Source organism: Homo sapiens, chromosome 3, assembly GCF_000001405.40.
Source record: "Homo sapiens chromosome 3, GRCh38.p14 Primary Assembly".
In the NCBI taxonomy this organism is placed as follows: domain Eukaryota; kingdom Metazoa; phylum Chordata; class Mammalia; order Primates; family Hominidae; genus Homo; species Homo sapiens.
The window spans coordinates 179546320-179562787 of NC_000003.12; the positions used below are offsets into that span (position 1 = coordinate 179546320).

A 16468-nucleotide genomic window follows, 5' to 3' on the forward strand; every position below is an offset into this window, starting at 1 on the left:
AGGTAGTACACACTATGGACCTTGGGTAAGACACTGAGATGTACTGGCTTCAGATGTGAGCCAACATATTCACAGCTATGGTGGCAACAAGGATAGACTCCTTCTGCTTGAGAAAAGAAGAGGGAAGAAGAAAGGGCACTTTGTCTTGGAGCTTAGGTACCAACTTGGCCACACTGAGGAAAAGCATCAAACAGGCTCTCGGGGTCCCCAGTTCCAGCCCTTGGCTTTTGGGTGGCATTTCTGTACCTACTCTGGGCCAGAGGACAGCCCACTGTCCACAGCGGTGAGTCCCATGCCTGGCAGCATCCACCACAAGCTAACTGAAGAGCTCTTGGGCCTTAAGTGAATATCAGCTACACCCTGGAAGTACTTCCTGTGGGCCTGTGGTGGTGGTGGACATGGGGAGAAATTCCTCCACCTGGGGAAAGGGGAGGGAAGAATAGGAAGGACTTTGTCTTGTGGTTTCTGTACCAGCTCAGCTGCAGTACAATAGAGCACCAGGTAGAGTTCTAAGATTTCTGGCTCTAGGCCCTGGCTCCTGGACAACATCTCTGGACCTGCCCAGGGCCCAGGGGAACTTGCTGCCCTTAAGGGATGGACACAAGCCTGGCTGGCTTTGCCATCTGCTGATTGCAGAGACCTGGGGCCTTGAGCAAACAGGGTAGACAGGTAGTGGTTACAGCGGACCTTGGTTGAGGCCCATGCTTGCCGGCTTCAGGTCTGACTCAGCACAGTCCCAGTGCTGGTGGCCACAGGTGTCCTTGTGTCACCCCTCCCCCAGCTCCAGGCAGGTCTGCACAGAGAGCAGCTCCACTTGCTTGGGAGAAAGTAAGGGAAGAGAACAAGTCTCTCCCTGGTAATCCAGAGAATTCTTGCAGGTCTTATCAAAGATCATGAAGGCAGTACCTCTACTCTTTAAGAACCACAGCATTAATGGGCTTGGAGCCCCAAATGCATATACAACTGCAGTAAGCAAAAACTTAGATCACAACACCCAAGTCTCTGTCTCTTTGAATACCTGGAATGCCTTCCCAAGAAGGAGGAATACAAACAAGCCCAGACTGCAAAGACTACAATAAATACCTAACTCTTCAATGCCCAGACACCAATGAACATCCACAAGCATTTGGACTATCCAGGAAAACATGACCTCACCAAACAAACTAAATAAGGCACCAGGGGCCAAGCTTGAAGAGACAGAGATATGTGACCTTTCAGAGAGAGAATTCAAAATAGCTGTTTTGAGGAAACTCAAAGAAATTCCAGATAACACATAGAAGGAATTCAGAATCCTCTCAGATAAATTTAACAAAGAGATTGAAATAATTAAAAAGAATCAAAGCCAGGCATGCTGGCTCACATCTGTAATCCCAGCACTTTGGGAGGCCAAGATGAGTGGATCTTGCCTGAGCTCAGGAGTTTAAGACCAGCCTGGGCAACATGGTGAAACCCCATCTTCACAAAAAATACAAAAATTAGCTGGGCATGGTGATGCACTACAGTGACCCGTAGTCCCAGCTACTTGGGAGGCTGAGGTGGGAGGATTGCTTGAGCCCAGGAGGTCAAGGCTGCAATGAGCCATGATCATGCCATTGTACTCCAGAGTGAGACCCTGTCACAAAAAAAAAAAAAAAGAACCAAGCAGAAGATCTGGCATTGAAAAAATGCAATCGACATACTGAAGAATACATCAGAGTCTCTTAGTAGCAGAATCAATCAAGCAGAGGAAATAATTAGTGAGCTTGAAGATAGGCTATTTGAACATATATAGTCAGAGGAGACAAAGGAAAAAAGAATAAAAAGAATGAAGCATGCCTACAACAGCTAGAAAATAACCTCAAAAGGGCAACTCTAAGAGTTATTGGCCTTAAAGAGAAAATAGAGAGAGAGATAGGGGTAGAAAGTTTATTCAAAGGGATAATAGCAGAGGATATCCCAAACCCAGAGAAAGATATCAGTATTTAAGTATAAGAAGGTTGTAGAACACCAAGAAGATTTAACACAAAGAAGACTATGTCAAAGCATTTAATAATCAAACTCCCAAAGGTCAAGGATAAAGAAAGGATCCTAAAAGCAGCAAGTGAAAAGAAACAAATAGCACACAATGGAGCTCTAATACGTCTGGCAGCTGACTTTTCAGTGGAAACCTTATAGGCCAGGAGAGAGTGACATGACATATTTAACATGCTGAAGGAAAAAAACTTTTACCCTAGAATAGTAGATCAGGTGAAAATAGCTTTCAGACATGAAAGAGAAATAAAGACTTTCTCAGACAAACAAAAGCTGAGGGATTTCATCAACACCAGACCTGTCCTATAAGAAATGCTAAAGGGAGTTCTTCAATCTGAAAGAAAATGATGTTAATGAACAATAAGAAATCATCTGAAGATACAAAACTCATTGGTAATTGTAAGTACACAGAAAAACACAGAATATGATAACATTGTGATTGTGATGTGTAAATTACTCATATCTTAAGTAGAAAGACTAAAAGGTGAAACCACCAAAAATAACTGCAACAACTTTAAAGACATAGATAGTATAATAAAATATAAACAGAAACAACAAAAAGTTAAAAAGTGGGGAGATAAAGTTAAACTACAGAGATTTTATTAATTTTATTTTTGCTCATTGTTAATTTGTTTATGGTATCAGTGTTAAGTTATCATGAGTTTAAAGTAATGGGTTATAAGATACTATTTACAAGCCTCATGGTAACCTCAAAACATACAATGAACACATAAAAATAAAAAGCAAAAAAAATTAAAATATGTCATCAGAGAAAATCACTTTCACTAAAAGGAAAATAGGAAGGAAGAAAAGAAGAGTAACTACAAAACAACCAGAAAACAAATACCAAAATTATAGGAGTAAGTCCTTACTTATCAATAATAACTGAATGTAAATGGAATAAGCTCTCCAATCAAAAGACATAGAGTGACTGAATGCATTTTTCTAAAAAAAGCAAACCCCATGATCTGTTTACAAGAAACACACTTCACCTATAAAGATGCACATAGACTGTAAATAAAGGATGGAAAAAAATATTCCATGCAAATGGAAACCAAAAGAAGAGTGAGAATCACTGTAGCAGACAAAATAGATTTCAAGACAAAAACTATAAAAAGAGACAAAGAAGGTGATCATATAATTATAAAGGAGTTAATTAAGCAAGAGGATATAACAGATGTAAATATATATGCACCCAACAGTGGAGCACCAAGATTATGTAAAGCAAACATTATTAGAGCAAAAGAGAGAGATAGACCCCAACAGAATAATAGCTGGAGACTTCAGCATCCCTCTTGCATCATTGCACAGAACATCCAGACAGAAAATCAACATAGAAACATTGGACAAGAAAAAGAAATAAAAGGCATCCAAATGGGAATGAAAGAAGTCAAATTACCCTTGTTTACAGATGATATAATCTTATATTTGGAAAAATCTAAAGACTCCACCAAAAAACTATGTGAACTGATAAACAAATTCAGTAAAGTTTCAGGATATAAAATCAACATATAAAAATCATAGCATTTCTATATGCCAACAGCAAATGATCTGAAAAAGAAATTAAAAAGTAATCCCATCTATAATAGCTACAAATAAAATTAAATACCCAGGAGTTAACCAAAATGAAAGATTTCTACCATGAAAACTATAAAACATTTATGCAAGAAATTGAAGAGGACACAAAATATAGAAAGATATTCCATGTTCATGAATTGGAAGAATCAATTTTGCTAAAATTCCATTCTACCCAAAAGCAATCTACAGATTCAATGCAATCCCTATCAAAATACAAACAATATTCTTCACAGACATAGAAAAGACAATCCTGGCCGGGCGCGGTGGCTCATGCCTGTAATACCAGCACTTTGGGAGGCCGAGGCACGCAGATCACCTGAGGTCGGGAGTTCGAGACCAGCCTGACCAACATGGGGAAACACCCATCTCCACTAAAAATACAAAATTAGCCAGGCATGGTGGCCCATGTCTGTAATCCCCACTACTCAGGAGGCTGAGGCAGGAGAATTGCTTGAACCCAGGAGGCAGAGGTTGTGGTGAGCCGAGATCGTGCCATTGCACTACAGCCTGGGCAATAAGAGCAAAACTCCATCTCAAAAAAAAAAAAAAAAGAAAGAAAAAAGAAAAGAAAAGACAATCTTAAAATTTATGTGAAACCACAAAAGACCAAGAAGAGACAAATCTATCCTGAGCAAAAAGAATAAAACTAGAGGAGTCACATTACCTGGTTTCAAATTATACCTCAGAGCTATAGTAACACAAACAACATGGTACTGCCATAAAATAGACACATAGATCAATGGAACAGAATAGAGAATCCAGAAATAAATCCATACAGCCATGGTGAACTCATTTTCAACAAAAGTGCCAAGAACATAGATTGAGGAAAAGACAGTGTCTTCAATAAACAGTGCTGGAAAAACTGGATATCCATATATAGAAGAATGAAACTAGACCCGTATCTCTCACCATATACAAAAATCAAATCCAAATAAGGCAGGGACACAGGTGGAGCCATGGGTAGGCTGTGTGGGGAGAGCCAGGCCAGGCAGGACCCCAGGCAGGGTCCTCTAGTATGCTAGTCAGCATGAGGAGATAGCAGGACACAGTAGCTGATGCCTGTAATCCTAGCACTTTGGGAAGCCAAGGAAGGAGGACTGCTTGAGCCCAGGAGTGTGAGACCAACCTGGGCAATATATAGAGACCCTGTCTCTACAACAACAACAATAACAAATTAGCAGGGCGTGGTGGTGGTGGTGCATGCCTGTAGTTCACAGTGAGCTGTGATCATGCCACTGCACTCCAGTCTGGGTGACACAGCGAGACCCTGTCTCAATTTTAAAAAATAAATAAATAAAGAAGAAGAACGTGAAACAAATAAGGAGATAAAAGAATTCAACTCAGAGCCTGAGAAATTCAGCTCAGTTCCAGGCAGCTGGAGCATACCAGAGTAAGGGGACCAAGTCCCAGGCAGCAGCTACCCCCAACTCTACTTTGGTTTTGAGCAGTTTTCCTGACATAGATGGAAAAAGAACAAGCAGGCCCATCCACGTACTAGAGAAGTCAGAAGAATATTAGGTTTTCTGGAAATAAAAAACAAAAACAAAAAAACAGTTCCTATGAGTTCTGGGGCTATTTTAAAAAAGTGAGCCATTCCTTTTTTTTTTTTTTTTGAGATGAAGCCTCCCTCTGTCGCCCAGGCTGCAGTGCAGAAGTTGGATTACTTGATATGTACTGGAGATTGAGGCCTGCAGCTGCAGTTGCCCGCTATTTCAGGCATACAATTCATCTTGTAAACAGATGACATAAATCTACAGTGTCTATAAATACATTTACAGTACTGTAAACGTATTTTTCTCTTCCTTAAGATTTTTTTAATTACATTTTCTTTTCTCTAGGTTAATTTATTGTAAGAATACAGTACAAGCATATAAAATATGTGTTAATCAACTATTTACATTATCCATAAATAGTCATCAGAAAGCTGTTAGTAGTTAACTTAGGCTAACCCTAACCCCTGCATTGTTCAAGGGTCAACTGTAGTTCTTACAGCTATTAAAAGCATCAGAGTTGTTCCCATTGTGCCAATTGGGCTGTAGTAAGAAACACAGAGTAGCAATGCTCCTGGAAGTTTTTGGTGTCTGTCTCCAGGGACATACAAACAAAGAGATTCTGAAGGATTCCACATGATATCCCTTCTGAAAGGTTCTTGAGTAACACTTGAGAGTAACATTTGTGAGTGTGTTGGTTTTCCCCAAGAAAGCTTATTTTTAGAAATTTTACCTAAACTTGCTCTATTTTACATTATTATCACTAAGATCATAATCACAACTTTTATCTAATTTTTTTTTTTTTTTGAGACAGAGTCTTGCTCTGTCACCCAGGCTGGAGTGCAATGGTGTGATCTTGGCTCACTGCAACCTCTGCCTCCCAGGTTCAAGCGATTTTCCTACCTCAGCCTCCCAAGTAGCTGGGATTACAGGCGTCCGCCACCACACAAGGCTAATTTTTGTATTTTTAGTAGAGATGGGGTTTCACCATGTTGGTCAGGCTGCTCTCGAACTCCTAACCTCAGGTGATCACCCGCCCACCTTGGCCTCCAGAAGTGCTGAGATTACAGGCGTGAGCCACTGTGCCCAGCCTTTTTTTTTTTTTTTTGAGACGGAGTCTCGCTGTGTCGCCCACGCTGGAGTACAGTGACACGATCTCGGCTCACTGCAAGCTCCGACTCCCGGGTTCACGCCATTCTCCTGCCTCAGCCTCCCGAGTAGCTGGGACTGCAGGCGCCCGCCACCACACCCGGCTAATTTTTTTTTGTATTTTTAGTAAAGACGGGGTTTCTCCATGTTAGCCAGGATGGTCTCCATCTCCTGACCTCGTGATCCGCCCGCCTTGGCCTCCCAAAGTGCTGGGATTACAGGCGTGAGCCACCGCGCCCGGCCCAGCCTAATATTATTTTTTAAACTGTGGTTTATTGCAAGCTGCTGACCCTGAGCATACAACAGGAATAAAGCAAAGAAAACTAGGAAAATATGTAAATTTTGACAAGTATAAAGTACAGACGAGCATTGAAAAGAAAGAGACAAAAGTGATTGTATATAACTAGTAATATGTACATTTTAAAATGTTTCATTTTGTACCATAAATTTGTTTTAAGATGATTGCTTTTTAAAAAACATTTAGGCCAGGCATGGTGGCTCACGCCTATAATCTCAGCACTTTGGGAGGCCGAGGTGGGCTGATCACCTGAGGTCAGGAGTTCGAGACCAGCCTGGCCAATATGGTGAAACCCTGCCTGTCTCTACTAAAAATACAAAAATGAGCCGGGCATGGTGGCAGGCATCTGTAGTCCCAGCTACTCAGGAGGCTGAGGCAGGAGAACTGCTTGAACCTGGGAGGCAGAGGTTGCAGTTAGCCAGGATCGCACCACTGCACTCCAGCCTGGGTGACAGAGTGAGACTCTGTCTCAAAAAAAAAAAAAAAAAAAAAAATTTAAACTTTTATACTAAGAAAAGCTTTTACAATCCCAGGTTGAGGTTTTAGTCCTTAGGCTAACATTTCGGTACATATTACATCAGGCTTTTTTCCTTTGCTTATATTATCTGCTTATCTATATAAAGATATAGATATAATTTTACATATAGACATATATAACTATATTTTAATATATAATTACATGTAGTTACACACATAATATATAATAATTATATATAATTATGTAGTTACACACAGTTTTATTTGTATAATTTTTACACATAACTTTTAATAAAATAACAACATACTCTATAAATACACAATCTGGTTTTTTGGGTTTTTTTTGAGATGGAGTCTCTTTCTGTCGCCCAGACTGGAGTGCAGCAGTGCAATCTCAGCTCACTGCAACCTCCACCTCCCAGATTCAAGCGATTCTCCTGCCTCAGCCTCCGGAGTAGCTGGGACTACAGGCGCCTGCCACCACACCCAGCTAATTTTTTTGCATTTTTAGTAGAGATGGGGTTTCACCTTGTTGCCCAGGCTGGTCACGAATTCCTGAGCTCAGGCAATCTGCCCGCCTCAGCTTCCCAAAGTGCTGGGATTACCGGCGTGAGCCACATTGCCCAGCCTAATACTGCATTTTTACATTTGTTTTATTTCTCTTGACTGTGAATGGGGCCCATGTAAGATCTGTTTGTGTGTATAATAAGTTCTTATAAATTTTAACTTTTTATAATAGATTTGTGTATTACGTTAGTGAATGATAGCTGGTAACTGCATATATCTTATGCATTGATGACATGCCTTTTTCTTAACTTTTTGGATATGTCTAGGCTATGCAGTTCATTTGTCAGTCTTTTGAAACTGTCACTGATAAAAATTTTCCAATATATTTATTGAAAAAAATTCATGGCCAGGTGTGGTGGCTCACACCTGTAATCCCAGCACATTGGAAGGCGGAGGCAGGTGGATCACTTGAGGTCAGGAGTTCAAGACCAGCCTGGTCAACATAGCAAAAATCCGTCCCTACTAAAAATACAAAAAAAAAATTAGCTGCACGTGAGGGCACACGCCTGTAATCCCAGCTATTTGGGAGGCTGAGGTAGGAGAATCACTTGAACTCGGGAGGCAGAGGTTGTAGTGAGCAGAGACCACGCCACTGCACTCCAGCCTAGACAACAGAGTGAGACCCTGTCTCAAAAAAGCAAAAAACAAATAAACAAACAAAATCACATATTTTGAAACTGCACAGTTCAAATCCATGTTGTTCAAGGGTCAAGTGTATATGGAATGATCACAGGTTCTACTTGTAAATTATTCTTCTTGCTTTTGTCATCCAGTCTAGAGTCCCTATGTGCTTCTGGATCTGGCATACCACAGATAGTACAGAGGCTTTTAAATCCCTGTGGGAGTTTATCAAAGTCTGACAGTTGATATCCAAGGTGAGTGATCCTAGAGTATCATAACATGATTCTCTAGGTTATATGAGGTAAGGGGAGGAGTGGCAAGGAGAGTGTGCACTCAACAATGCTAACTTCGTAATATCAAGTAGGCACGATAGGCTGATTATGGCCTAATTTAATGCTCAAATTCTTCAATAATTTAGTTTTTCCTTCTGGATTATGACCATTTGGGGAGCAGGTTTTATTAGAAATTAACAAACACAATAGTAAGCTTAAATATAGGCTTTCGTCCAGTCAGTTTAGGTAGAGCTGGTAACTGGCATTTATTTGAATAATTTTGCAAAGACCAATGATTTTCATAACTAATAATTAATCCCTTCTCATTTGTATAGTGGTTAGTAAGAGGGGGAAAATAAAAATAATAATCTCCCTGCTTCTCATAGATTTTTCCTAAAAAAAAAAAAAAAAAAAAGAAAGAAAAAAACTTTCCCACCTCCCTCCACCTCCTGCTTAAAAAAAATAAGGGCTGGGCGCGATGGCTCATGCCTGTAATGCCAGCACTCTGGGAGGCTGAGGTGGGCGGATCACAAGTTCAGGAGATCGAGACCATCCTGGCTAACATGGTGAAACTTCGTCTCTACTAAAAATACAAAAAATTAGCCAGGCGTGGTGGCGGGCGCCTGTAGTCCCAGCTACTCGGGAGGCTGAGGCAGGAGAATGGTGTGAACCCGGGAGGCAGAGCTTGCAGTGAGCAGAGATCACGCCACTGCACTCCAGCCTGAGCGACAGAGCAAGACTCCGTCTCAAAAAAAAAAAAAACAAAAAACAAAAGAACAAAAGAAATGCCTTTTTCCTTCATTCCAACAAAACAAAACAAACTCTATAACCAATCCCTGGTTAGAAATGTAGCGCATACTACATGTTAGGTGTGGCAAATGACTTTTCTTTTGTTTACTATTGTTTTAATCATGTGTCAGGGTGGAGAGAAACAACTTTAAATGGAAGAAGGAATTGTGTAGTCACCACCCACATCTTCTCAAGCATTGGTGGAAGCCTCAGCCTAAGTGGATATTTGGGATCCATTCTTCAAGTAGCAACTGGAATGTGCTAGCAGCCACTTTCACATTAATGGGAGAACTGTTATAGCCCTTGAGTGAAAGCATGGCTTATTTCACCTAGTTTCCCTGGTGCCAGGCTTAGAGCAGAAGGTCAAAAAGTTAGCAGATCAGAAGTTTTGCTTGTAAATTATTCTGCTTCTTTTTTCATCCAGTCTTAGAGCCCCCCAAAATGCACTCTTGGATCTGGTGCACTGTTGTTGGTACGAACAGTAAATCACAGGCTCTACCTAAACAGCTAATGAATGAACAAAACATCTTATATAAAAGCTCCATCTTAACAGAAGTTTAAAAAAGTTCTGTGTTGGTGAGAGTTGGAGGAAAAAGTGTACTCCCAAACATATTATTGGGGAAATGTAAATTGTTTAAGTCCTGTGTAATTTGGCAATGACCATTACAATTAAAAATGTATATACCCTGTGACCCAGCAAAGTCTCTTCTGCTAATTCATCCTGCACAAAAACTCTCATATATGCGCAAAGAAAAGAATAGTCATTACAGCATTCTTTGTAATAGTAAAAGACTAGAAACAACTTAAATGTCTCTTCAATAGAGAACTGGTGAAATAAATCATGGCATATACAGGTAATAGAATTCTGTGCTGATGTTAAAAGGAATAAGAATTATACAGGTTGACATGGACTGACCTCCAAGATAATACTGTTAAGTAAACAAAGTCAAGTACAAAATCACTTGTTCAGTTATGTAAATAACAATAATGGGGGGAAGGAATATAAATATATGTTTCTATTTGAAAAGACTATCTCTGGAAGGTTACATAAGAAACTGGTAACAGTAGTTCAATTTGGGGAGAGGAACTGAGGAATTGGGAGGATTGAAAGAGGAGAAAGGGAGCTTTGTTTTTCACTGTTGTGTCATTTCAGTTTCTAGCCGTATGTATACCATTTAAAATTATTAAAATAAAAATGTCCAAAGTAAATATTTTAAAATTGATTTCCAAAAAGAATAATGCTTTTTTTTTTTTTTTTTGAGACAGCGTTTCTCTCTGTATCCTAGGCTGGAGTGCAGTGATGCGATCATGGCTCACTGCACCCTGGACCTCCCAGCTTCAAGTAATCCTCACACCTCAGCCTCTTAAATAGCTGGGACTACATGCATACACCACCAGCCTGGCTAATTTTTTTTATTACTTTTTGTAGAGACAGGGGTCTCACTGTGCTGCCCAGGCTGGCCTTGAACTCCTGGGCTCAAGCAGTTCTCCCACCAGGGCCTTCCAAAGTGCTGGGATTACAGGTGTGAGTCACTGTGCCCAGCCGAGAATGCTTTTTTTTTTTTTTTTTTGAGACGGAGTCTTGCTCTGTCGCCCAGGCTGGAGTGCAGTGGCGTGATCTTGGCTCAGTGCAAGCTCCGCCTCCCGGGTTCACGCCATTCTCCTGCCTCAGCCTCCCGCGTAGCTGGGACTACAGGCGCCCGCCACCACGCCCGGCTAATTTTTTATATTTTTAGTAGAGACGGGGTTTCACCGTGTTAGCCAGGATGGTCTCGATCTCCTGACCTCGTGATCCACCCGCCTCGGCCTCCCAAACTGCTGGGATTACAGGCGTGAGCCACCGCGCCCGGCCCGAGAATGCTTCTTAAAGATCCCTAGTGTATTGTGAGTTACATTTGGATCAGAAAAAATAGAGAAGGGGGAATATATCTACATAATCAGTTGTATAAGCATAGAACCACCCTGAAGAGGAGACGGCTAGGGATACAGGTAAAAGGGAAGACTTAGTTCTCTGTATCTTTTTATACCTTTAGATTTACATACATGTCTGTGTATATACATATATAATATATACAGATTATATTATTATATATTATATATAATTGAAATGATTGTTTTTCAAGTTTACTAGAAGCATGGAAGTGGAAAGAGAAAGCTATCTTGAAGTAGAAACAGCATACTCAGTAGGTTCAGACAACTCTAGTTTCAAATCCTGACTCTCAATAGCTTTGTGATGTTGGGCAAGCTGGTAAATCTCTGGGCCTCTTCTGCCAAAACCCTCAGAAGGATAAGTCGATTAATGGAAAATATTGTATATAAAGCGTCTTTCCTATGATAGCACATAAAGTTCAGTAATTTGTGGTCATTATTATCGTGTGGCCGATGAAATCCTTTCTATTCCAAAGCAGTTTCAAGTGTTCCAAAGAAGCCATCCTTAGCAAGAACCTTGGACTCAGGAGAGTATTGCTCCTCGAGCTGTGTAACAGCCTTACAACATGGTGTTGCTACTGACCTAGATCAATGAGAAGCCCTGATTTGCCCAAAAGTGGCCCCAAGTGACACAGTGTCACTTTACAGCACCAGTTGATTAAATGTTGGCATTGCTAACTCACATGGTGATTTTCCCCAAAAGCTATATTGAATGAACAAAGAAGAGGTTTTTTTTTTTTTTTAAAGATAATGAAATAACAATATAGACTCGTACAACTCACCGAGAATTTAGCATCTCATCTTTTTTTCTTTACTTTCTTGTCTGTTCAGGACCATTGTTAATACCATAGCAAACCTATTAGTGTGTTATAAAGTTACCAGCTGTGACCAAACATACTTTTATTTGCTTCTTTATAGATCTAGGTTACATTATTGAAATGGATAGATCTCTTACTATTCTGATGGCAAACATGTATGAATCTTACCAATCATATTTCTATTGTTGAAAAACCCTATATATGATACCAGGTATTTATCTTTTATCTCAGTAGTGCTTGGATGAGTGTTATACATTTGGAACTTCAGTACGCAAAGGATGGTGCTTACAATGACTCCTCATACACACAAAAATGTCTATTTTGAAAATTGCTTTTTACTACTGCCAACTTTATATATTTTGCAGCATGAAACAAAATAATTCTAAATGTACATAAATTTTTGTGTCATTTCTTCCTGACGGATGATAATTTTCTGAATTTGTTTCCTAGCTTGCATAAACAGCAGTTGCATTTTTTTTTCAATGCTGAACTTAATAAAAGCTGAGACAGAGGATAAGATATGTAACATTTTGTAATGACTGCTGAAATTCCATAACCTGAGTGCTGACAGGGCTGGTGAAGAAAGTAGAGAGGATCCAGCATCACAAGTCCTGGTGGATCATTACAAGAATGGACGACCAGCGACCCAATGTGGCAAAGCCAATTGTTGCACCTGGGGCCACAGAAGAAATTCTTGATGCTTGGATATTACAAATGATTTTTGAAAGCCTCTTTATTTTTGTAAACTGGATTCGGAATCAACCACTGAGCACCTACTCTGGGCTAGATAAATTTATATACCTGTTACTTCAACATCTTTTGTTTTTAGGTTGACATACCTGATATATTGGTTCAGGGGGAAAATTGCAAGCATTGATAGTTTTGATATGCTGTGCCTTTGAGAACTGAAATAACAGACAATAACCTTGAGTTGTTGCAGTTTAATCTGACTAGTTATTGACAACATTAATATAGGCTGAGCCAAGACTTTAGAGAAAACATGTTAGACAACAGGGGAGAAATATCACTACTCAAAAAACCCCAACCCTCATATATTTTATATTTCATAAAGCAGATTTTGCTGGGTTAGTACTTTTGTTTTAATGTACTTTCAACTAGTTTTCCTAAGAATTGAAGATTGGGAGGCCGAGGCAGGTGGATCTCTTGAGGCCAGGAGTTCAAGACCAGCCTGGCCAACATGGTGAAACTCCTTCTCTACTAAAAATACAAAAATTAGCTGGGCATGGTGGCACATGCCTGTAGTCCCAACTACTGGGGAGGCTGAGGCAGGAGAATCACTTCAACCTGGGAGATGGAGGTTGCAGTGAGCCAAGACCATGCCACTGCACTCCAGCCTGGGCTATAGAGCGAGACTCTGTTTTACAAAAAAAAAAAAAAAAAAAAAAAAAAAAAGAATAGAAAACAGCCATACTGTTAAGTCAAAGGAAATAACGTCATTAATATGGAGGATGCCCATCCACCGACATAGTTCTTTTAGAAGGCTGAATAGGTTTTCTTTCTGAACAATCTCATGCTCCAGCAATTCAATATTTCAGGGCCAATAGTCTTAGTGTCCTATTACATTTTTTATTGATTAAAATTTATCAAAGGATTCACAAGTGTGCACTTTTATCTGTGTCAACATGTGATTTGTCCTGAAACATCAGATGTAATGTGAAGTTTATTTCCTTTGAAATTCATTTCAATGGCTTATTATTAAATGAAGCCGTGGTTCCAATGGGACATCAAGAGATTCCAAGCCAACCTGATATTACAAATGAATGAACAAACAAATGATCTGTTTTCTAGTATTTTTCCAAATTATCAAATGGAGCAAAACCTGACTTTAAGCAAAATCATCTGAGTGTCACTTCCATCTTCTTTGTGCTGTCAGATTTACAATTCTCCTGCACAGTTTGGTTACTCTGCACACGGTGCAGGACAGTTTTAAATCTGGGGAGGAGACAGTCCCATCTCAGGCTTTCCAGAGGCTAGAGGGCGTGGTCCTCATCATCAACCCTCTTGAACTGTTTTGTTTTAAGATAAATGCTGAACAAGTGGAACAAATATTTTACTCTCTTTTAGACTAGATAGGTATTTTACTTCTAGGATATATTATCTTCAAACATGAGAGATGTTGGAGATAGTATTGAAGAGAGATATCAATGTTCAGCGATATCAAAATCTAGTTAATTTGCTGTATATAAATTATTTGGCATTTAAATGCTACATTGATTTAAATGGATAACTGTGTATTATAAACTCACAAATAGCATCTCTTCAATATTTAATTATTAGAAAACATCTCAATATTTTATACTCTTCAGCTACTAGTCAAAGACATCATAAAAACATAGATTGGAAGAAGAAATATTTTGGGGATTTGATATGCAGCTACAGTGACAGCTATAATAATGGGGACAACAGTTAACATAGGGTACTTATGCACGCTATGCTGGTTATATTACATGTGTTAGCTCAGGTCTGCAAACTCTTCTTGTAAAGGGTCCAGTAATAAATGTATTCTCCAGCTGAGTGGGACACATAGTCTCTGTCTCCCAACTACTCAACTCTACCCTTACAGAGCAAAATAGTCATAAATGAGTAAGTGTGGGCTGTGTCCTAATAAAACTTAGTTTAAGGTCACTGAAGTGTGAATTTCACATAGTTTTCACATCTCTCTCCTTCTTTCTTTTGTTTTCTTTTTTTCTTTTTTTTTTTTTTTTTCAGGGACTTGCTTTGTCACCCAGGCTGGAGTGCAGTGGGGAGATCACGACTCACTGAAGCTTTGAACTCCCAGGCTCAAGCAATCCTCTCACCCTAGCCTCCAGAGTAGCTAGGGGGCATGCACCACCATACCCAGATAATTTTAAAATTTTTTGTAGAGACGGGGGTCTCCCTGTGTTGCCCAGGCTGGTCTTGAACTCCTGGCCTCAAGCGATCCTCCTGCTTGGACCTCCCAAAGTGCTAGGATTACAGCTGTGAGCCACCATGCCCAACCTGTCACATATTATTCTTTAAAATATTTTAAATAATAATTTAAAAACAGAAATAATCATTCTTAGCTCAAGGCCAAAAAAAAAAAAAAAAAAAGGCAGTCTTCCCACCTGCTTCCCCTTTTCCCCACCTCCCCTCCCCACCCCACACACAAAAGACTGGATTTGGCCCTAGTGCCATAGTGTGCTGACACACATCTGCATTATCTCACTGGGTTAATAGGGCTTTTCTAAATGGTCAGATACACTGTGATTATATTGTCAAGTGAATGGGAAAGAGTTTTCCCGCTAGCCTTTTTTCCCACCCTACTGCCTCATCACTTTCTGCCACCCTCTGCCACTGAGACTGATGGGGTTTTAGTCAATCGTTTCTAAGGTTAAAAGTAGGCACTGCATGTCTAGACTCTAGACAAGGATCAATTACAAGGATAGGCAGCAATCTTAAGGGTTTGAGCGCTGGAGTGTCCTGATCGGGTTTGGGCGTTTTCACAGATGAAGCTCCCTTGATCAAGAGTGGCAAAGGGACACAGCAACAAGTTGTTGCAGTAATCTGGGGATAAAGGAAGGTGATCTGGACTAGGCTGGTAGAAATAGGGGACTAAGGCTGTTTTTGGGATGCCTATTTAGGATTGGGTGCTTGCTTGAATGAAGATTGATTAGCTGTTTTAAATACCTCTCACAGGATAAAAGAAATTGATTTTTTTTTTTTTTGAGACAGAGTCTTGCTCTGTCGCCCAGGCTGGAGTGCAGTGGCGCAATCTCGGCTCACTGCAACCTCTGCCTCCCGGGTTCAAGCGACTCTCCTGCCTCAGCCTCCTGCGTAGCTGGGACTACAGGCCCGGCTACTTTTCTCATTTTTAGTAGACACAGGGTTTCACTGTGTTGCCTAGGCTGGTCTCGAACTCCTGACCTTGTGATCTGCCCGCCTCGGCCTACCAAAGTGCTCGGATTACACGCATGAGCCACCACGCCCGGCCTGAAATTTTTTTTTTTTTTTAAAGAAATGAGTAAGTTTTTTAATAGTTTTTAAAGCGCTACCTAGGTTTAGCTGGGATACCGCATAATTTCATTCTTCTTTTACTTATTAATAACCATTTTAAAAACTGCAAGATCCTATCAATTTGTCTGATTTACTGATTCCCCTATCCCAAAGTGGAGCGCAAAATTTTTACTTTTTCAACATAAAAGTTAGTTTAAAATACTTTTTCTGAAGAAAAAAAGAAAGAAATCCGCATTCCCCACAGTCACTGGACAGGAATCTCGGCGTGGAGACACCCGTTCAATTTCCAGGGGTCTACCTTCCCCTACCCGGGTTCCCGCCGCTCCTCAGCGCCCAGACGCACCTCCTAGTCCCGCCCCCATGCTTCTTCCAGCCTTCCTCCTTCTTCTCCCACTGCCTCCGCCCATTCCCTCGCCCACCCGGGAAGCTCCGCCCCCTCCAGCTCCGCAACCCAACTCCTTCTGTCCTGCTGTC

General features: G+C 40.4%; 1 annotated feature.

Annotated features, from left to right (window-relative positions):
- Window positions 12482–12776: a silencer, noted in NCBI's record as "tiled region #7561; K562 Repressive DNase unmatched - State 12:CtcfO". NCBI's record gives its function as "represses a minimal TATA promoter and a strong SV40 promoter by Sharpr-MPRA in K562 cells {active_cell/tissue: K562}" and the evidence as "EXISTENCE:reporter gene assay evidence [ECO:0000049][PMID:27701403]".